The sequence below is a fragment of the Homo sapiens genome, chromosome 11 (assembly GCF_000001405.40).
Source record: "Homo sapiens chromosome 11, GRCh38.p14 Primary Assembly".
NCBI lineage: Eukaryota > Metazoa > Chordata > Mammalia > Primates > Hominidae > Homo > Homo sapiens.
Window position 1 is genome coordinate 26,279,108 of NC_000011.10, and position 22,968 is coordinate 26,302,075.

General features: G+C 37.1%; 1 protein-coding gene and 1 long non-coding RNA gene across 2 annotated transcripts in view, besides 1 other annotated feature; one reads left to right on the plus strand and one right to left on the minus strand.

Moving 5' to 3' along the window:
• Positions 1–22,968, plus strand: part of ANO3 (anoctamin 3) — a 474,482-nt gene that overhangs the window by 90,300 nt on the left and 361,214 nt on the right. The gene's annotated exons all lie outside the window — the stretch shown is intronic.
• Positions 5,655–5,714: an enhancer, noted in NCBI's record as "active region_4540". NCBI's record gives its function as "activates an Ori minimal core promoter by ATAC-STARR-seq in GM12878 lymphoblastoid cells {active_cell/tissue: GM12878}" and the evidence as "EXISTENCE:reporter gene assay evidence [ECO:0000049][PMID:35858748]".
• Positions 6,478–8,900, minus strand: ANO3-AS1 (ANO3 antisense RNA 1). The gene is made up of 3 exons (NR_132968.1): positions 8,853–8,900; positions 8,221–8,442; positions 6,478–7,049 (listed from the first exon to the last, which is right to left on the minus strand). It is a non-coding gene; the product is annotated as an ANO3 antisense RNA 1 (long non-coding RNA).

Sequence of the window (22,968 nt, forward strand, 5' to 3'; positions counted from 1 at the left end):
CACTCCAATAATCCAGGAGAGAGAAAATGAATGTATCTTCCCTAGAGTCTGTGAAGCTTTTTTCTTATGGGTCCCTATCTCAACTAGTTCCCTTCAAGTTTTCAAAGATCAGGTCTGGAAACAGAGAAATTGAACATGCTTCACAATTTTACCTAAGTTAGATTTATTATTTTATAATATTAGAAATAATATTCCAACACAAATAGTGCACAAAAATAGATTCCTTAACAGATTTCTGCCTCTTTGAATTGCTTTGCTATTGTTGTTTTCAAGTCCATGAAGTGAAAGTTTGTCCTATGGATACATAATTGTAAAGAACTTTGCAAATCATGTATATGAAAAAGATTTCATATGCAGAATAAAGAATTCCTACAATTCAACAACAAAAAGACAAACAACCCTATTAAAATGGGCAAAGGATTTGAATAGATATTTCTGCAAAGAAGAGTACAAATAGTCAAGAAGCACATGGACAGATATTTAACATCACTTGTCTTTTTGCACATTTCTGTGAGCTCTGTTTCAAGTCAAATCAAGATAGCCTTGCAAGTAGGGTCTTCAGGGACTTGCAAGTGGGGTCTCCCAGGGAACCAGAAAACTGGATAAATAGTGACAACTGGGAGTGAGGCTTTAAAGGGGCCCCAATCTCATTCTGTGTCCATCCGGCAACTTCAAGACTCCTTATTTCCACTGTGATTGTAGGCTGTTTTATTTTAAGATTACTACAGACCTAAACAGAATAGGATGGGAGTAGAATAAGTCAAAATACCCAATACTTGCTCTTATTAATGAATTAAGCCATTTTTCTTCAATAACTCTCCCTGGATTAGTGTAAATCTTTGGTTCATTTCCAGATTTCTCGAAAAGAAATGACACTGATGATGCTTGTGAGTTTTCTCACTGCTTTAATGAAAAAGAGTTTTCAGGGGTTCTTATGCTACCATTTTTGATGATGATCTTCTCCAATTGTTAACTCTTTCACAACCATAGTAAAATTTCAAAACCAGGACAATGGCATCGGTACAATATGTGTGTATAGTTCATGTCATTTTACCACATGTGCAGAGTTGTGCAACTACTACTTAATTCAAGATAAAGGATTATTACATCACTACAAAGAGTTGTCTTGTGTCACCTCTTTTTATTATCACATCTACCCCGCTAGCCTTCACCATTCCTAAATCCTAGTGTATTAAGGTTCTCTAGCAGGACAGAACTAATAGGATAGATGTATATGTAAAGGGGAGTTTTTTAAGGCATATTGACTCACATGATCACAAGGTGAGATCCCACAGTAGGCCATCTACAAGCTGAAGAGCGAGGAAGCCAGTCCGAGTCCCAAAGCTGAAGAACTTGGAGTCCGATATTCAAGGGCAGGAAGCATCTAGCACAGGGGAAACATGTAGGCAGGAACACTAAACAAGTCTAGTCTTCTCACGTTCTTCTGCCTGCTTTTATTCTGGCCACACTGGCAGCTGATTTGATGGTTCCCACCCAGATTGGCGGGTGAGGGCTCTGCCTTTCCCAGTCCACTGACTCAAATGTTAATCTCCTTTGGCAACACCCTCACAGACACACCCAGGAAAATACGTTGCATCCTTCAATCCAATCAAGTTGACAATATTTACCATCACGCCCAATAAGCATGAATTTGTTCTAAAATCAGTCACCTGTTAAAGAGTTCCCTGTCTCCCAGGAATGGTGCCACCTTAGTATTCCTGCTATACTTGGTTCTTGACAGGGAGAAGCCATAAGGCCTCTGCACAAAAGCAGTAATAGATTTTATAGCACAGCAATTGGGAAGCTGGACATACATGCTCCTGGGAGCCAGAGATCTGACAGGCTCATTCTCAGGGCTGCCAAAATCAGTAAGAACATGAATAATATCTGTCTCTATCATTGTTTTATCCCCTGCATTGGCACACAGATGTGCCAATACTGTACTAGATACCAAACACCATTAAAAGTGCTTTTCATATAGTGTCTCACTTAATTCTTGTTATAACCCTGTGAAATAATTAACATTAATATCTTTACTTTGCAGATGAAGAAATAAAGATATAGAAAGGCTAAGTAATTTGTCCAAGATCATACAGATCATAAATGACAGTCATATTGGCTTCAGAATGTGTAGTATTAATATATATAATCCTATAGTTGGCACACAATTTCTGTTCCAGAAATGAATGACTGAATGAATGAAGAGGAAATAACCATTTCCTAATCATATTCACGTTTGAAAGAGCATTTCCAAACCACTCTGAACTCCTCATGAGCATAGAAAAATTATGACTAAAATAATGAGATAGGCCTAGAGGGACCCTACTCCTAAATTTTTATTAGCTAAGAACCTGTCCAAACTCCACCTCAGATGACTTGAGGGAGAGGTTCTTCTTCACACTTAAACTAAAATTAACAAAAAGACTCTTCTCATCTGAGTTAATTATGCAAAATAAATTTTGACCCCACCCTAGGAATTTCTATTTGTGGAAGTAGGAGTCAGCAAAACATTTTTATTCTTATTTGTACACTCTAACAGGTACAGGTGCAATTAAATAAAAATATTTTGTCAGGAAAGCATGAAATATTTATGTTTATTTAAAGATTAATATAAAATTCTAAAGCCTAAGACCTTGGTTATATGCTGATAAGTTCCTGAAAGTACTGCTTGAAGAGACATATCTTTGCCCATTGTCCTTCTGCAACTATGGCAAGTTAAGTTTGAAGACATTCAGGCAAATGTCTTCAAGAAGCTCCTCATCTCTTTTGGAATATTTTTGCCCCAACCCAGCACATGTGCATATGAAGACATGCAGTTCGTCTATACAACCATGTGGATTAGTCATAATTAAGATCCTCCCAGGCCAAAGCAAAAACATGAAAACCATTACTTTGCACCGACACACTGTTTATTCTTGGAATACTAGCAGCAGGGACCTATGAAGCAGTGTTTGGGGTTACATTATTTGGGTTGTCAATAGAGCTTGTTTTTCCTAAATTTTACTTATACCATTAGCCTGCTTCGGAGGGTGTTAGACAAAAATTTCTGAAACTCATTGTTTTTAGTTGAAAATGTAGTTGATGATGCTGTTCATATCATGGAGTGTTTTCCGCATCAGCTACCAAAGAAAAGCATATATCTAAAGTCCAGAAATAAATCTGAACTGGGCTTTGCATAAACAAACAGGTTTTCATTTTTTTTGTTTTTTTTTTTGTAATAGATTATCTGATTCATGTGTCTGAATTTATCTCTTATTGTTGGTTGTTAGGAAACTCAGACATAAACTTTTATGAACTTCTAATAAAATTAGATGAAGTCATAGCCTGCATTCTGCATATTAATTTAACTTTTAGATTGCTGTTTTTCCAATATTTTCTTTTATTCCACTTCTTCTCGGCTTTGGAAAATATTGCTATGTGTATTTACTCCTTCCTGTAAAAGATAAGATTTTTTTAATTAAGAAATTGAATTTGAATCCACTACTGTTGGAATTGTGTAGGCCATTTTGTGTCATTTTTAAAAAGCTCATCTACATGACTAAAAAGAAAACAAAAACAAGACTATATCTCCAGTGTATCCAGTTGAAAACAATACTTAGTCTGTATCATCTTACCAAGCATCAGGGAAGATTCAGGTTTCATGAAGCCTCAGTAGTCTTAAATTTGGGGAAATTTTTGAATAAAAAGAATACAAAAGTATAAATAGAAAATTAGAAAGTGAATGACGAAATAAAAGAAATTATATATTTGTCAATGGCCATAAAACCCACAAACATCATTCACAAAATCCAGAAAGATAACATGAGGTATGTGTCTTTAGTAACTGCCTATCACAATTCTATAATTATTTTTCTTACATTTAGACTACATATTCCTTGAGTCTTTATTTGAATGCATTTTAATAATATTTTCTACAGAAAAAAATTGAAAAACAAATCATTGCTTCATCTAAAATGGTTGATGAACTATTTTACATTATAATTTTTAAATTTTTGTTTTGCTTCATAACTTATTAGTATTGCCATATACATTTTTCAGATTACTGTCAAATATGGAAAGTCTTCTTTCAATTTCCTTTCTTATACAAGGTATATGATGTCATTGCATGTCACATTTTTTCGTGTAGGAGCTACTCTCTAATCCTCTTTGAATGAATGTCACATTCACCAATCTGTTAGCATAACCATATCTTACCAAAATAAACAAATAAATAAATATATATATATATATATATATATATATATATATATATATATATAGCGAGCATTTTTTCTGTTCTTAGAAGGTCCAGGGGAAACGAGTAACTCTGGGCTTTGGGTTTATTTGCTTCACTGCAAATCTGCTCTCCAAGCCTGAGAAGACAAACCACACTATTGGTTAATTATGTAAAACATTCAACAATCAGTACAACATGAAAAGTAGTTCATAATCACGACCAGAACTGAGAACTAATAGAGCACATACTTTGCTGGAAAGAGAAAAGGATTATCACTTAGTGAGATTTCTCACTTAGTAAGTACCTACTCAGGCAAATGTGTGCCCAGTAATTTTATAAAAATGAATCAATCTATTTATCTATTCAATAGAGACTTTAAAACACCAACTTTCCAGGGTACTAGAAATCTAATGGTTAACAAGACAGACTTGATGCCTTAAATTCTAATGGAGGAGACAGATAATAAGCCACCAAACATATAACTGCAAATTGTAACGAATGCCCTGATGGGAACCAATGGGATGCTATGAAAAGGAAAACTGAGAGGTGGGAGACCAAATTTAGATAGAGAAAACTGTAAAGGTTATTTAAGCTGATACCTGCAAGATGCACCAGAACAAGACACATGAAAAATGAGAAAAGCAGTTAGGAGTCCTGAGACTTGCAGTATTTGACCCATGTGGGGGAACTGTGCTGGGGCGGGTGTGTAGGTGGGTGGTATGGCGGGAGGAGGGAAGCACAGGCAGCTCCCAGATAACTGCAGGCCTTGGAGGACAGGGCCAGAAGTGCTCTAAGTGCAGTGGGAAGCAATTGAAGGGTTGGACCCGAGGCTGACATGACACAGCTTTCATTCAGTCTACTGCATGCACCATGAAGCTAATGAAAACAAGAGAAGGAAGCAGAGGGCAGCTTGGACCTATCCTAATAATACAGGCAAGAGGTGATGGTGGTTTGGGCCAGATGATTAAGTGCCGATATGGAGTGGAGTGGCATAGAATAAAACACGAATTCCTAATGGGTTGAACGGGAAGCAAAGTAAGGGAGAAAGAGGATTCTAATTTGATTCCTGCATGCTGCACACTTTTATCGATGTGGAGATCAACTGGAAGTGGGGAATAGATTTTGTTTAATCCTTACAGCAACTCTGTGAGGTGAGTGTTTTTGTACTCATTATATGTATATGAAATCAGAGAATGAGAGAGCTTTTAACTTCCCGCGGGTCTCTCAATTCAGAAGTGGAAGAATCTAAATCAATAGTTTCTTGGATTTATTGCTTTAAGAAATGCATATTTTGGGCTGGGCGCGGTGGCTCACTCCTGTAATCCCAGCAATTTGGGAGGCCGAGGCTGGCGGATCAAGAGGTCAGGAGATCCAGACCATCCTGGCTAACACGGTGAAACCCCGTCTCTACTAAAAAAAAAATACAAAAAAAATTAGCCGGGCGTGCTGGCGGGCGCCTGTAGTCCCAGCTACTCCGGAGGCTGAGGCAGAAGATGACGTGAACCTGGGAGGCGGAGCCTGCAGTGAGCCGAGATCGCCCCACTGCACCCCAGCCTGGGCGACAGAGCGAGACTCCGTCTCAAAAGAAAAGAAAAAGATGCATATTTTGAATACTCATCTTTCTTCCTTTAAGTTTGTGGATATTTGGCATAGGTGATCTCTAAATATACTTGAATCAAGCCTGCCAATTTGGAACTATTTTGTTAAAACCGCCTTTACTTCAGAATTTCCACTAGGGGGAGCTACCACTATGTGGTTTATTTACTGTGTACAATTTTTTTTTTTAATTATGGTAAGGTTAGTATTTACTGGTCACCCACAAACTTAATCTTAATAAAGTTCACTTTGTTATCTTTTAGAAAATAGTAATGCATATTTTGTAAAAGAGCCTGAAGTCTTAACCAAGAACTTTAGGAGTAAGAAAATATAGGAAGATAAAGAAACTCATAATTTGCATAATGGCAACAAAGCATCTAAATTAAACTGTGATGGAAAAAGAATCTAAAAATAAAGCAAGACATGTTGTATGAAATTTGAAAGATGTCATTGTTATTAAGATTTATAAAATTATTTTGGTTTGTCTTATTTGTTGTGCATTCTTATTCTTATTTTAAATGAATATTTAATACATATTTAAGAACAATTAAAGATTACCTTATAAACATGGTCCGTGAATCTCTGTTTCTTATAAAGGAATACATTATGGGAGACAAATATTTTCACCCATGGGGAGTTTTAGGAGCACGTGGAGTCTTACGGGATAAGTATATTCATTTAATAAATAACACAAAATAAGCATAATCATAATGTCAACAACAACAGTAATAATAGCAACCAACTGGGCACCACTTGCTGTGCTAATCACTCAACATCTAGAATCGTATGTAATCATTCCAATTATATTCGAAGTGTTGGTTTCAGATACAATGATGGGGCTGACCTGGGTGTCCCTTCCCTTTGTCATATGCTGACTCATGAAATGCATTAGGACAGAAGCAGCATTGCAGCAGTTTTCCATTCATGCCATGGAAAGGTATGAATGATAAAGGCATCCCTCAAAGTGGAGTCCCTGAGGTATCAGTAAGTGAGTGCCCTTCCAGTGAAACATGTTTCTAATTTGGGGTTGCCTTTCCCCGGGGATCTTACACACAAGGTGTTGTGAGTTATTAAAGGTCCTCAGATTTCATGTGTTGCCTCCTGACATCAGATAAAGTGGCAAATGACACTTCTTGAATCAGCATTGTCCCATCATAACAGATGGCCGTTAGCTCAATCTACAGGGAATCAGCTTATTGTCTTCCATATGAAAATAAGCAGGTCAGCATTCTAAATCCTGAAATGACAAAGGGAAAAATAGTTCACAGGACTCTGAAAACAGCATGTGAAATAATCAAAGGTTAGGGGGAACTTTCTTAACCACAAAATATTTGTATTCAGTATACCTTAACATTTGTTTCATTTAGAGCACATGAAATAAATAGTTGTATTTTGATATAAAGGCCTGGGGTTTGTCAATATTTAGTTCAGGGGTCTGAATTCTGGCTGCACAGCAAAATCATGTTGGAAAAATGTTTAAATTTCAGATGCTCAGGCATCCAGTTAAGTCAGAATTATTTTAGTTGAAACCCAGGCATTCATCATTTTTTAAGTTTCCCCCGTGATTCTAATGTGTGGTGTTTCTAATGTATGACCAATTGTATAATAATTGCACAGTAATTTTATAATCCATTTCCCAAACTTTCATGTGATATGAATTGCCTTGGGATCTTGTTAAAATACAAGTTAAGATTCAGTAGGTCTGGGGCAAAGCCTGAGTGTCTGCATCTCTAACACTCTCCCAGAAGATGGCGATATGGATGCTGACACACCACTCAGTAATTGGCAATGCGGGTGGGCTTTGGTCTCCATACAAGATAGACACAAAGCTCCTCAAATGCAGGGGTTCTTTCTGTTCATTTGCTGATCGTTATTGTTACTGGATGGTACAGAAGCTCTTGGAATGTTAAAACAAACAGGGCTTAGCTCCAAACTATCTTTTTAGAGTCGTTAGCTTTGCACCAGAACCTTCTAAAGACTCTCTGCTTAATGTGTTTTCTTTATTGAACTCTGGGCCAACAGACATTCAGATTTTTGCAGGAAGGAGTTTATAAACTTAACAAAGTGTTATAAATCAATGGAAGCACAAGATTTTGCCTTTACATTACCTGCCCAATTATTGTGTCACTAGTTATTGTCAGTACAATTAGGTTCATGGATATTTGACATGCTTTTCTACCAAGTCAGAAACTGTGGGGCAGGAGAAAGCCGAATTGATAGAGTGACTAATATATTCTGTTAGACTAGACTATCTGCACCACCAGAGCAGAGCCCGGTCTGTCCTGAACATTATTGTATGTTCCTAGCACAATATTTAATACACAATTAATAAATATGCTATGAGCTTTGAATCCTGTATTTAACTTCGTCCTTCGAATAATGATGACTAACATGTATTGAATGCTTACCATGTGCCAAGCAGTGGTCTAAGTACCTTACATCTGTTTATTGATTCATTTACTATTTACAACAACCCAGTAAAGCAGATGACAATATCCATTTTAGAGATACAGGAAGTGAAGCACAGAGAGGTCGAGTGATTTATCCAAGGTCACACAGTCATTAAGCAATAGAAACAGACATTAAATCCAGGCACTCTGGTTCCAGAGTCTGTGATCTTCACCAGTATCCTGTTAATGTTCATAACAAAAATATATGATAAGTACTGTTATAATGTCACTCATTTACAGGTGAGGAAACAAAGGCACAGAGACTCTAAGCAACTTACCCAAAGTCACATAGTTAATAATCGGTGAAACCAGGATTTAAACCCAGGAAGATTCAAATCCAGATTATAAATCCAGAGCCTTTGTTCTTAACCACTAATTTATAGTTTCTCAACTAGCCTATTAGTTAGAAACCACTTACTAGGTGTGAAAAGAGCCCTGAAAAAATGTAAGTGCCATAATCAAATATCAAACTGGAATTAATGGCAGAGGATGAGTTGAAACTCACATTTATTTTCTTTAAATTCTAAGTTCCTCTTCTCTTGGCTTTTGAAACCAATGGAGAACTTTGTCAAATAATAGAAAATGCTTACCTCCAAAGAGCCTCATGAGAATCTTCTGTCAATTTAATTTCTCTTCTACATTCTTCTCCAGATATACTATGCGTTGTTCACACTGTAGAGGGTAGACTAATGTCAAAAAATTAATCAAATGATTCTGAAAGGCACATAATAACACTCCTTCCTCTGGAAAATCAGAATGTCTGCTAGACCAGGAGGCTAAGTGAGGAAGCAGGGTAGAGTGGAGAGGCATAAGAGAAGGGTGGCTGGCGACGCTGACTTCACCTGTGACAGGCCAGTGAATTTAGAGGTGGAATCATCAGCCTGCTTTTAATTACTTGCTTTTAAGATAAAGAAGTGGAAGTTTATGATGGAGGTATCAATTGTCACTGACATTTGACAGACTGGTTGTTCAGAAAAACACAGATAGAGTCCATGTCAGCTGGCAGTAACAGTGGGATTTTCCTTGTTGTTGTTGTTTTAAGTTCTAAAAACCAACATATAGGACAAATTATAAATCTGGACTCTTAAATTGTCAGCTTTCTGTGAGTGGGTAGGAAAGGGATTCCTTCCTTTGTTTTTCTGACCTTCCCAGAAGAGCTTTCCATTTTAGCTTCAATGATAATGAACACAAACTGGGGTTAATAAATAGGTATACTTCCGGTGGCCTCTACACTCCTTCCAATTTCAGATCCATTTCACTGGCCATTATGTGTCTGGAGCAATAGGGAAAGAAAACACCTAAGCAAACCATTTTCTTCTTTTGATCTGTACCATGCCTGAGAAAGCAGCAAGATAGGAAAGGAAGTGAGAGGAATATTACTTTGCCACCTGAATACACGAAATTAGTCAACACTGGCATTTTTAAATTGAAGAAATTAAATGGTGCCATGGATCTAATATGCCATACCTATTTGCCTGCAAATGTCCCTCTGGGAAGCTACAATAGGTGGATAAAGTACAATATCCAGATTTCAAATTTATTACAACTTAGCACAATCTTTGGTTTTCTGGTAGATTTCAGTCGTTTAATAATAAAGTTTCTGGATAATGGATTTCAGTGTGACTTTACTCTATTTAATATTACATTCATTCAACAACTATGGAGTGCCTACTGTCAAGCAATGGCCTAGGCCTTAGGAATATGGAGGTAAACCATACATATCAGGTCTCCTTTTATAGATTTTACTTTCTTCACATTTTATCTCTTAATATAAATTGGCATCAATAGAGATTTATCTGTGTGGGATTTATAATGACAGGCAAAAAAAAAGTAGCAGGAAACAGATAAACCTTGAAATCAGCAGACTTGGATTTATGTCCTGGGAACACCAGACATTTGCTCTGTTTTATTAAGCAACTAACTTCATTTTTTCAACTGAGCATACTCAGTAATAAAAATGGGATAATAATACTCATGGTGAACTTTGGTGATTGTGAATATAAGTAATTTGACACCAAACCTAAAACATATTTGGCACTAAATAATCATTCTAATAATAATAATAATCCTTAATATATATATAGCACTGCCTATTTTGCCAAAAATTTTCATATACATTATTACCTTTGATTCTAAGTATATATGTACATATATACATATATAGAATATATATATTCTATATGTGTGTATATGTACATATACACATATATCCTATATGTGTGTATATGTACATATACACACATATATTCTATATGTGTGTATATGTACATATACACACATATATTCTATATGTGTGTATATGTACATATACACACATATATTCTATATGTGTATATATATTCTATATGTGTATATATATTCTATATGTGTATATATATTCTATATGTGTATATATATGTATACATATGTATAATGCCAGTATATATATATGTGTGTGTATATATGTATAATGCCAGTATTTTATTGAGGATTTTTGCATCGATGTTCATCAGGGATATTGGTCTAAAATTCTCTTTTTTTGTTGTATCTCTGCCAGGCTTTGGTGTCAGGATGATGCTGGCCTCATAAAATGAGTTAGGGAGGATTCCCTCTTTTCCTATTGATTGGAAGAAATGGTATCAGCTCCTGTTTGTACCTCTGGTAGAATTCAGCTGCGAATCCATCTGGTCCTGGACTTTTTTTAGTTGGTAGGCTATTAATTATTGCCCCAATTTCAGAGCCTGTTATTGGTCTATTCAGGGATTCAACTTCTTCCTGGTTTAGTCTTGGGAGGGCGTATGTGTCCAGGAATGTATCCATTTCTTCTAGATTTTCTAGTTTATTTGCTTAGAGGTGTTTATAGTGTTCTCTGATGGTAGTTTGTATTTCCGTGGGATCAGTGGTGATATCCCCTTTATCATTTTTTATCGCATCTATTTGATTCTTCTCTCTTTTCTTCTTTATTAGTCTTGCTAGTGGTCTATCAATTTTGTTGATCTTTTCAAAAAACCAGCTCCTGGATTCATTGATTTTTTGAAGGGATTTTGTGTCTCTATCTCCTTCAGTTCTGCTCTGATCTTAATTATTTCCTGCCTTCTGCTAGCTTTTGAATGTGTTTGCTCTTGCTTCTCTAGTTCTTTTAATTGTGATGTTAGGGTGTCAATTTTGGATCTTTCCTGCTTTCTCTTGTGTACATTTAGTGCTATAAATTTCCCTCTACCAACTGCTTTAAATGTGTCCCAGAGATTCTGATATGTTGTGTCTTTGTTTTCATTGGTTTCAAAGAACATCTTTATTTCTGCCTTCAATTCATTATTTACCCAGTAGTCATTCAGGAGCAGGTTGTTCAGTTTCCAGGTAGTTGAGCTGTTTTGAGTGAGTTTCTTAATCCTGAGTTCTAATTTGATTGCACTATGGGCTGAGACACAGTTTGTTACAATTTCTGTTCTTTTACATTTGGTGAGGAGTGCTTTACTTCCAACAATGTGGACAATTTTGGAATAAGTGCAATGTGGTGCTGAGAAGAATGCATATTCTGTTGATTTGGAGTGAAGAGTTCTGTAGATGTCTATTAGGTCCACTTGGTGCAGAGCTGAGTCAAGTCCTGGAAATCCTTGTTAACTATCTGTCTCGTTGATCTGTCTAATGTTGACAGTGGGATGTTAAAGTCTACCATTATTATTGTGTGGGAGGCTGAGTCTCTTTGTAGGTCTCTAAGGACTTGCTTTATGAATCTGGGTGCTCCTGTATTGGGTGCATATATATTTAGGATAGTTAGCTCTTCTTATTGAATTGATCCCTTTACCATTATGTAATGGCCTTCTTTGTCTCTTTTGATCTTTTTGGTTTAAAGCCTGTTTTATCAGAGACTAGGATTGCAACCCTTGCTTTTTTTTGTTTTCCATTTGCTTGGTAGGTCTTCCTCCATCCCTTTATTTTGAGCCTATGTGTGTCTCTGCACATGAGATGGATCTCCTGAATACAGCACACTGATGGGTCTTGACCCTTTATCCAATTTGCCAGTCTGTGTCTTTTAATTGGGTTATTTAGCCCATTTACATTTAAGGTTAATATTGTTATGTGTGAATTAGATCCTGTCATTATGATGTTAGCTAGTTATTTTGTTTGTTAGTTGATGCAGTTTCTTCCTAGCCTCGATGGTCTTTACATTTTGGCATGTTTTTGCAGTGGCTGGTACCGGTTGTTCCTTTCCATGTTTAGTGCTTCCTTCAGGATCTCTTGTAAGGCAGGCCTGGTGGTGACAAAATCTCTCAGCATTTGCTTGTCTATAAAGGATTTTATTTCTCCTTCACTTATGAAGCTTAGTTTGACTGGATATGAAATTCTGGGTTGAAATTTCTTTTCTTTAAGAATGTTGAATATTGGCCCCTACTCTCTTCTGGCTTGTAGAGTTTCTGCTGAGAGATCTGCTGTTAGTCTGATGGGCTTCCCTTTGTGGGTAACTCGACCTTTCTCTCTGGCTGCCTTTAACATTTTTTCCTTCATTTCAACCTTGGTGAATCTGACAATTATGTGTCTTGGGGTTGCTCTTCTTGAGGAGTATCTTTGTGGCGTTCTCTATTTTTCCTGAATTTGAATGTTGACCTGCCTTGCTAGGTTGGGGAAGTTCTCCCGGGTAATATCCTGCAGAGTGTTTTCCAACTTGGTTCCATTCTTCCTGTCACTTTCAGGTACACCAATCAAACATGGATTTGGTCTTTTCACATGGTCCCATATTTCTTGGAGGCTTTGTTCATTTCTTTTTATTCTTTTTTCTCTAAACTTCTCTTCTCACTTCATTTCATTCATTTGATCTTCAATCACTGATAGCCTTTCTTCCACTTGATCCAATCAGTTACTGACACTTGTGCATGCATCACATAGTTCTCGTGACATGGTTTTCAGCTCCATCAGGTCATTTAAGGTCTTCTCTATGCTGTTTATTCTAGTTAGCCATTCATCTAATCTTTTTTCAAGGTTTTTAGCTTCTTTGTAATGAGTTCCAACATCCTATTTTAGCTCAGAGAAGTTTGTTATTACCAATCTTCTGAAGCCCACTTCTGTCAACTCATCAAAGTCATTCTCTATCCAGCTGTGCTCAGTTGCTGGTGAGGAGGTGCGATCCTTTGGAGGAGAAGAGGTGCTCTGATTTTTAGAATTTTCAGCTTTTCCGCTCTGGTTTCTCCCCATCTTTGTGGTTTTTATCTACCTTTCGTATTTGATGATGGTGACCTACAGATGAGGTTTTGGTGTGGGTGTCCTTTTTGTTGATGTTGATGCAATTCCTTTCTGTTTGTTAGTTTTCCTTCTAACAGTTAGGACCCTCAGCTGCAGGTCTGTTGGAGTTTGCTGAAGGTCCACTCCAGACCCAGTTTGCCTGGGTATCTGGCTGCAGAACAGCAAATATTGCACAACAGCAAAGGTTGCTGCCTGATCCTTCCTCTGGAAGCTTCATCTCAGAGGGGCACCTGGCTGTATGAGTTGTCAGTTGGCCCCTACTGGGAGGTGTCTCCCAGTTAGGCTACTCATGGGTCAGGGACCCACGAGGAGGCAGTCTGTCCGTTCTCAGATCTCAAACTCCGTGCTGGGAGAACCACTCCTCTCTTCAAAGCTCAGTTGGAAATGCAGAAATCACCCATCTTCTGCGTCACTCATGTTGGGAACTGTAGACTGGAGCTGTTCCTATTCGGCCATCTTCACCCACCCCATATCTTTAAATTAAAGGCAATAAATTTGGGTCAGCTTCACTTTAATCCAAATCCTCTAATGAATATATTTAATACCCATTTTAAAAGGTGTTTTGAAAAGGTAAATTTTTCTTCTAAATTGGCACAGGCCATCGATGAAAACATTATTGTGAGTTTCTGCCTCATATCCTAAAATAAGCAAAACCTAAATAAAAAGGCATACAGGATCTAATTAACATAATACAATGTTTTCAAAGAATTTTTGAAAAAATATATAAATAGAAAAACAAGAGAGGCTAATATTTTTCTGAAATTCTTTCTCTCACACTGTCATTTAGTGTCATTTAGTGAGCATTTTTTCTCCCAACTTACTCAATTGTTATTTCCAGTAACTAGATCCAGGTTTACATTACTGATAAACAATGAGATCTATGCTTCTGGAAATTTTGATGCTCAAAAGAATCAATTTCAGTCTAGAGTGGGTCTATAAATTCCATGTATATATATATATATATATATATATATATATATATATATATATTCCTGTTGTTTTTCATGTTTTGCTTTGTCATATGTAGAAGAAATCCATTAAAACGCAAAGATCATTTTATGGAAATATATGGAGACAGAATATTTCACACTAACAGAGACTAAAAATCACCTGCACAAATCCATCATTTTACAGATGAAGAAATTGAGCCACAGGGATAAAAAGGACATTAAACTTTCTTGGGCATCTACTTACATGTCCTTGTGCTTTGCATATGCTTTTCTCATTAAATTAATTCTCCGTAATAAGTTTATCAGATTGGTACAGTATTACAATAGCAATTTATAGGTGAAGAAACTGGCACTAGAATGATTAAGTAACACTCAAGTGTTGTAACTAGGATTTGGGTGTTATTTACCTAAATAGTTTTGTCGCTTTTTTGCATTGCCAATGTTTCTGATTGCACTTCAATGGAAGAGTCTCTCCGTGTTTGGTGGAAGAGTCCACAGGAAGATGGTCTGTTTGGAGAGCTGCAGGGAGATGTGCAGTGGAAGCTGAAAGAATAACAGTAGAAAGTGGGCCCGGTGGAAATAAAATACGTTTAAAGGACTGTTGTCCACAATTTGGAAATTATAGTCTATAATCTTTTCTTGAGGGTCAGAAACTGACCTATCCTGAAAATATGATGATTGCCTCAAGACTGTCATCATATTTTCGACATGAATTCCGTAAGACTGTTAGAGAGCCATTGAGCTATTCTGGAGCCTCTGTGTATTTTAGTGTTTATCCACACCAGCCACTGTGCTACTGCTTTCTATATTATGATATCACAGGATCTTCAAAATAGTGCTGTTTTGTTTTACTTTATTTTTTTAAATTTTATTTTGAGTTGAAAAATAAACATTGTATATGTTTATCATGTATTACATGTTGATTTGAAATATATATTCATTGTGGAATGCCTATATAGAACAATAGCACTATTCTAGATATCATGATTGCTATTATTATTGTAATTATCATTACTGCTCTCCAAGTGAAGAAACCAAGGGTCAGTAGGATTAAGCAACTTCTGCAGGGTCATGCAACAAAATTGACAGAAGCAAGATTCAGATCGTGTTCTCTGACTCCATCACCTACACAGTGACTTTGCCCCTCACTCAGAAAGACTGCCTGTGACTTACTCTAGTTTGATTTTTATCATTCTTCTTTGAAACTTTAAAAACACATCGAAAAAATCTTATGCCTTTCTTTTTCTTTGGCATATCTTTAACAGACATCAACATATCTGCGGCAATGAATGTAGATGTCACCAAGTGACAGGCTTTCAGCTGGGTCATTTTCCTTTTTTTTCTTCTTTTTTTAAATGTATTTATTTATTTATTTATTTTTGAGACGGAGTCTTTCTCCCTTGCCAGGCTGGAGTGCAGTGGCATGATCTCTGCTCACTGCAACCTCCGCCTCCTGAATTCAAGCGATTCCCCTGCCTCAGCCTCCTGAGTAACTGGGACTATAGGCGTGCACCCACGTGCCAGGGTAATTTGTTGTTGTTGTTGTTGTTTTGTATTTTAGTAGAGATGGGGTTTCACCATGTTGGACAGGATGGTCTCAATCTCCTGACCTCGTGATCCACCCGCCTCGGCCTCCTAGAGGGCTGGATTACAGGTGTGAGCCACCGCGCCTGCCTCAGTTGAGTCATTTTCTAACACATTATTTTATAACCCTCTTATGATAATAAGGTCTTTGTTTTCCCTTTAGCAACATCAAAAATCATTTGAGTCAGGAGATCGAGACCATCCTGGCTAACACGGTAAAACCCCGTCTCTACTAAAAATAAAAATAAAAAAAAATTAGCCGGGCTTAGTGGCGGGCGCCTATAGTCCCAGCTACTCCGGAGGCTGAGGCAGAAGAATGGCGTGAACCCGGGAGGCGGAGCTTGCAGTGAGCTGAGATAGCGCCCAGCCTGGGCGATAGAGTGAGACTCTGTCTCAAAAAAAAAAAAAAAAAAAAAAAAATTAATAGATAGCAGTAAACCTAATTGAAAACATTAAATAATATTTTGTAATACTTAAAGCTATCAAGTAGCCAAAAAAGTTATTAATTTTTTAAATTGATTTTAAAATTATGTATTTCTAGAAAAGTTCAGATGTGAAATAGAGCACCTCATATCTCCATCAGTTGTCAAATCAGATTAAAAATTTTAAAGACGTTTTTAAATATATTTCTGGGTTTTGTTCTTGCAGATGCTATCGTTTGGAAATAAATCTAAGAAAACAGAGCCTAACAGTTTGAGCCAAATTCCTCCCATGCTCCGTTCCCACCTATGTTGTCACCCTTTTTATGTTCTTCATGGAAATGTCTCCTTTCTACTCTGAAATTACAGAGCCACCTCTCTCTAGATGTTTCTGTTTTTATTCATAAACCTGAAAATTCTCTTGTGATATGAACACCCCAATGCTAACTGAAGAGGGGAATGGTTGCAATAGCAAACTTAAACATAATTGCTGCCACTGCTGTTTTTTGTCCAAATATGTGTTTCTTTTTCAAAATAAAGAAATGAAAACAAAGTGGTTTATTATTCTCAGTAGTAAATTGGCAGTGGACAGTAAGGTTGCATTTTCTCTTGTGTTGGCAATTGATCTTATGTGCACTGATTTATATATGAAAATGTTCTTGCTACCTAAGGAAAATGAGCTCTCATTATATAAATGAGTTTATTAAAACCCTACTGCCTTAGGCAAGTTGGCAGTTTTTTATCAATCTCCAAATTTAAACATCTCTAAAATAAGAAATGACAAAACATCTACAAGAGATGCTCCGGCTTATCCTGGCCCCAGATTAATTGACCCTCTCTTCCATGCTTTGGGGGATTATGAATAAAGCAGCATATCTAACTTGTTGACACTCAGATCATGTCTCTCTTTTACCAGCCTATGAGGGAGAGAAAATATAATATGACTTCTGGGTAGTGTCCTACTGGTTACTCACACAGATTGATTTCCTCCTTGAATCTGAGATTAGTTTTACCATGAGACTTGAATATTTTACTGAGGTTAGGGGTTAGGAAAAAAGGGGGTCAATCATTCTTACTATCTTGTGTTGGGTGACATAAAATCATCCAACAGGTGAGACATGGGAGATACTTCTATTATATCTCACTGCAGTGAGTAATTATCATTGATGAATAACAGACACTGATTTGAAAAGCACTCACCTTTCCACAGCCAGTAGGGCCTTAACAATTAAGAAAATGTTTTCTTAATATATCAGCGAAGGAGACAGCTTTTACTATGAAAAATATGATTAGCTTCCAAGCCACGTAAATGTGACTTTGGTCTGAGCCTTTGAGTATCAGGAACTTGAAGCTGAAACACTTCTAGATATCATCCAGAATTCCTAATGTTATATATGAATCTTCTCTAGGGTACTCCAGTCAATCATTATTAAAAATACACTTGAGTACCTCTAGAGACAGGTAGCCACACCCAGGATAGCTCATTTCATATTGGATAACTCTTAAAATTATATTGATCAAAATATTTATATAATATACTTTAGGATTCAATGTTTCAGATTACTTCCTATAATTTAAAAATAGTAATCACTGATTGTGTTCTTTCTTCTTCTGGCTGAACATCCCAAGCTGCATCAACCATTGCGTGTGTGTGTGTGTGTGTGTGTGTGTGAATTTCTTTTTACCCTCCAGTATATCTGTGTTTCTTTTTTTTATCCCTTTTTTGTCTTGTTGATATTTATGAGGATCATTTTAAATTTCACTTTATTAGTGAGCATTTCTGTCAGTATCACAAATAACCAGTGAGTGTCGCTGTTCTAACACAGACAAACACTTGTGGGCCTGTCATACAATGATCAACAACATTCTTGCATAAGCCATAAGCACTTGTAATTATGCGGAACACAGGCAGTGGGCTGAATGAATCAAGGGTCCTCTTAATCCACCCACATTAGCTAATGTAGACATTTCAGACAGATTTACTGGTGCCCTTTTATTGACATTAGTTTCCTTTAGTTTTCCAAGATGATAATTCATTTTGTTCTCCCTTCAAAATAAAAGACTGGTCATTTTCCCCAAAATGCTCTTCCTACAACTCAACTTGTATAGTTTGTAAACAACTTTTTCTCTTGATTTCAATCATTCATTCAGAGGGTTACTACTACAAAGGGAAAGGCAATAATTCTGAGTACCCATCTGTACCAAGTTTCCTTCCAAGAACTCCATGTGTATCATTTCTTTTAACACCACAACAATGCAATGAGGCAGTCATTATTCATGCCGTTGTTTATATCAGGGAAAGGAGGCTGAGGAAGTTAAATAACTCGACTCTGGGTGACATAATCAGTAAGTAACAAATCTGATGTGAGAAGCCAAGACCACCTGACACCACAGCCCCATTCTTTCCACTATACCCTCCTTCCTAACTGCAGGTGGTGCCTGCAAAAATGAGGAGCATAGAAACTAGTATCTCAATCCTTGAACATGTTGGGATTTCAGCAGAATCAGTAGATAACATTTTTCTCTTCTCTGCCTGGATTCTCAGAAAATATTTGAGAAATAGAATACTAGAGACTACAAGACAGAGATCAAAATGTCAATTGTGAATTGATGTAAGCTGGAAAATAGGACTTAGATATGTAGCCAAAGGAGCTTGCCCAAATTCCTTCCCTCATTCTCAATCTAATAGCTACCCACCCAGTAACTGGCACAACTAGCAGATCCCAGGGCACCCACAAAGGGATGGACCACATACCAGGTGATAGGAGAGAGAAAACAGGCCAAAATGGAAAGGAAAAAAGAAATTGCTGAACCAATTTTTCCTGTATATTTTAAGCTAACAAATCATATATAAACTAGATTTTTTTCCACAACAGAAGTCCCTACACATGGAAATATGAGGGGTATGGAATAACTGTTCACTGAAAGACTTGTGTTTTCAATATTTGCAATGCCAAGCAAGGTTATTTCAGGCCTTGTAGAGCTCGTTTTCAAATAATTATTCTGAGTAATTAACCTTTTACTCTGAGTAAAGTGGGGCTTCATTGAATGAAAGGTTTTAAACAAAGGAGTTGTATTAGCTGAATTTCACTTTAATATCACCTAGCTCATGTCTACTCGTTTCCAAACCTAAATCTACTATCATTTTGGGCAATGGAGACGGTGGCAAGACCAAAATCATTTAGGAGATGTACAATAGATGGTGGCAGTGGAGATGGGGAGAAGTCATGGTTAGATTTCGGACATACTTGAAAGTAGAATGAATGAGTGTTGTGAGATAGAAGAGTCAAGATTTTTGGCCCCAAGCTTTTCTCCATCGACTGAAATGACAAAATAATGACTGAATACAGTCTGGGAGCCAAGATCAGAGAGATCATTTGGGAATGTCGAGTTTGGACTTGATTCTTTCAGACCAATGGAAATGTGAAGAAGACATACATGTGGTCTAAAAACCTGGAGTTAGAAAAAGAGATCTGGACTGGAGATGTACGTTTAGGAAGTATCGTTCTACAGAAGATGTATAAAACCATGAGACAGGATGAAATTACCAGGCATAAGAAATAAAGAGAAGAGTCTAAGGTTTGAGGTTTCTGGGGTTTTGCAAAGTTAAAAGGTTAAGAAAAAGAGGAATGACAAAGGAGGCTGAAAAGGAGAGTTAGTGAGGCTGGAGAAGAATCAAGACACTGTGGTATTCTGAAAGCTAAGTGGGGGAAGTTTATCAAGGAGGAAAGTGTGATTAATTATATAGCATGCCCCTAATATATCAAAGAAGCTGAAGGTTAAGAATTCACTTTGGTGAAGAAGAGGTCATTGGTAACTTTGACAGTCTTAGTGAAGTGATAAGAGGAAAATAAATAAATACTGTAGAGGATTTTTGAAAAATGAATTAGAAATAGTAAGTTTTGGTTCTAACTTTATCTGCTTTTGTGGACTAGTGGAGCAAAAGGCAACAAATAAGTTGAGAAGAAGCCACCAGGAAAACTAGAGTCAAGAGAGATTGCCTTTTTTTTTTCCTATTCTTTTTAGGGATTAGAAGACCTATTTGTATAGTGATGATAAATGTCAACTAGAGTGGGGAGGCGGAGACTGGCATGCTTGTATGGTGATGATAATTATCAACTAGAATGGCAGGGGGTGCAGGGACTGGACTTGACTCTGTAGGGAGAGAGCATGTATGGGAAATTATTGGGCTGCTGTCCTGAAGTAGGAGTGAGGGATAGAAACTACTCCATATGTGGAAGAGATGGCCTTTGTTGGAATACAGTTCGTTTATCTAGACTATCAGTCAGGAAGGCAGAATATATGAGTATACAATTGCCAATAAGTGGGTGGGAGCTGTGGAAGTTTTCTTCACATTGCTTCAGTCTTCTCAGTGAAATAGGAAGCAAAATTATCAGCTAAGAGTGAGATATAGGGAGGAGGTGTTGGAAGACAGGGTTTGAAATGAGGGAATAAAGTATGAAGTAGTCTTCTAGGAGAGTGGGAGAATAGCTGGACCTGGGAAAAATATTTTGACTGCTGGGCACCATTAAGCCCTCATGTGGGGTTATTATCAGGAATTTGAGGAAGACCAGTCTGTATGCTGGCATGTTTTTTCCTTCATTTATGGTTTAATTGCATAGGTATGAGTATGGAGGAAGTGCGATGCCCATGCAAGCACGCACGCACACACACACAGACACACACACACAGACACACGCATACACAGAGACACCAAACAGACACACACACACATACACACCTTACTTTTAAAAGCAAGTTGTTTTACATCTTTCCTATGCAATTTTTGTTTTCCTTTTGGCTCCATCTCTCTCTCTCATTTGCTCTCCCTCTCTCTCTCTCTCGACATTTGCCCCCCATTTTATAGCATTTGCAAAGTTAAAAGGTTAAGAAAAAGAGGAATGACAAAGGAGGCTGAAAAGGAGAGTTAGTGAGGCTGGAGAAGAATCGAGACACACCAACTAAATAACCAAGTATGTAAGAATTGAAAATTATTTTAGAGATCAGTTTCATTCTCCTCATTATAGATGGGGAGACTAAGGACCAGATAAAAAGGATTGGCCCAGATTTTGGCAGTCACATAGGAACAAACTTCTAGAAGTTTCCCTTATAGATATGTGTCTGTGGAACAGGTGTATAGAAAAATTATATGCTAATGTTTAGCAGATGCTCAACATAAATTATCTTATATATTCAGTAACTCAGTTGAAGCAAAATAACATAACCTTGCATAATATCGCTCATATTCTTGTTAGGATAATGTCACTACTGTTGCCTGGGTACTTCTTTACTTTATTTATTTCTTTCTTTTTTTTCTTTTTTTTTTTTTTTTGAGGTGGAGTCTCACTCTGTTGCCCAGGCTGAAGTGCAGTGGTGCAATTTCCACTCACTGCCACCTCTGCCTCCTGGGCTCAAGCGATTCTCCTGCCTCAGCCTCCCAAGTAGTTGGGATTACAGGTGCCCACCACCACTCCCAGCTAATTTTTGTATTTTTAGTAGAGATGGGGTTTCACCATGTTGGCCAGGTTGGTCTTGAACTCCTGACCTCGAGATCCACCTGCCTCGGCCTCCCAAAGTGCTGGGATTACAAGTGTGAGCCACCACGCCCAGCCTCTTTACTTTCTTAATTGCCTCTTCATAATGTATTTAATAAACTATGGCAATCCCAGAATGACAGATTGTTACCACTGTCATTGGATTTCTAATTTCAATTTGGAATTTAAAAACCAAATACCTGAATTGTTGTCCTAATTCTGACATTGCCTATTTATAGCCTTGGTTAGGTAATTGAGCTTTCTGAGTCTGTAGTTTCTTAGCTTATTAAATGAGAAAAAATAGACTAGATATGCAGTTAAAATAATTTTAAAATAGCAGCATAAATGAAACTGAAGTACTTTTATTTAAACAAGGGCTGGTGCATCCAGTTGGCCACTCACTGAACACCTTTGTACTGTTTTAGGTTTCTTTGATGCAGCTACACATAATTCAAGTGCTCCAAGGATTACAATTCCTAAAAGTAGAATGGAAGATCTAGTATTTCTTCCACTTCTGTCATTCTATAAACACATTATGTTATGTAGGGGAGTGGAGGGATTGAGAGATAGGGAAGGAAGAAGAGAGACAGAGAATGAAAAATGAATGTTAAGTTCAGGTAAAAGATTCTTACATACCTACAGTTGCAAAAACCCTTAAATGCCTTCTATGATAAAATGTTTTATTTCTTCCATCCCTATTGTTACAAAAACCTTCAATTACCTTATAGAACAGACTGTTTTATCCCTGCCCCCATTGATGTCATCTCAAAAGACAAGGAGGCTCAAAGTGAGAGTGAGATAGACCTTTACATTATCAACTCATTTCTAAGCCCCATCACATAGATAGGCCTGCATGTTTTAGAAGAGCATTTATGGTAAAAATGATAGAAAGTTATTAATATCCCAAATCGAAAAGTAGGGGAGAGACTGGTGATTCAGCCCTGCTAAGCTACAAGGTACTAGGCAGAGACTGTGAAGGTAACTGCCAAGATTCAGCCAGTC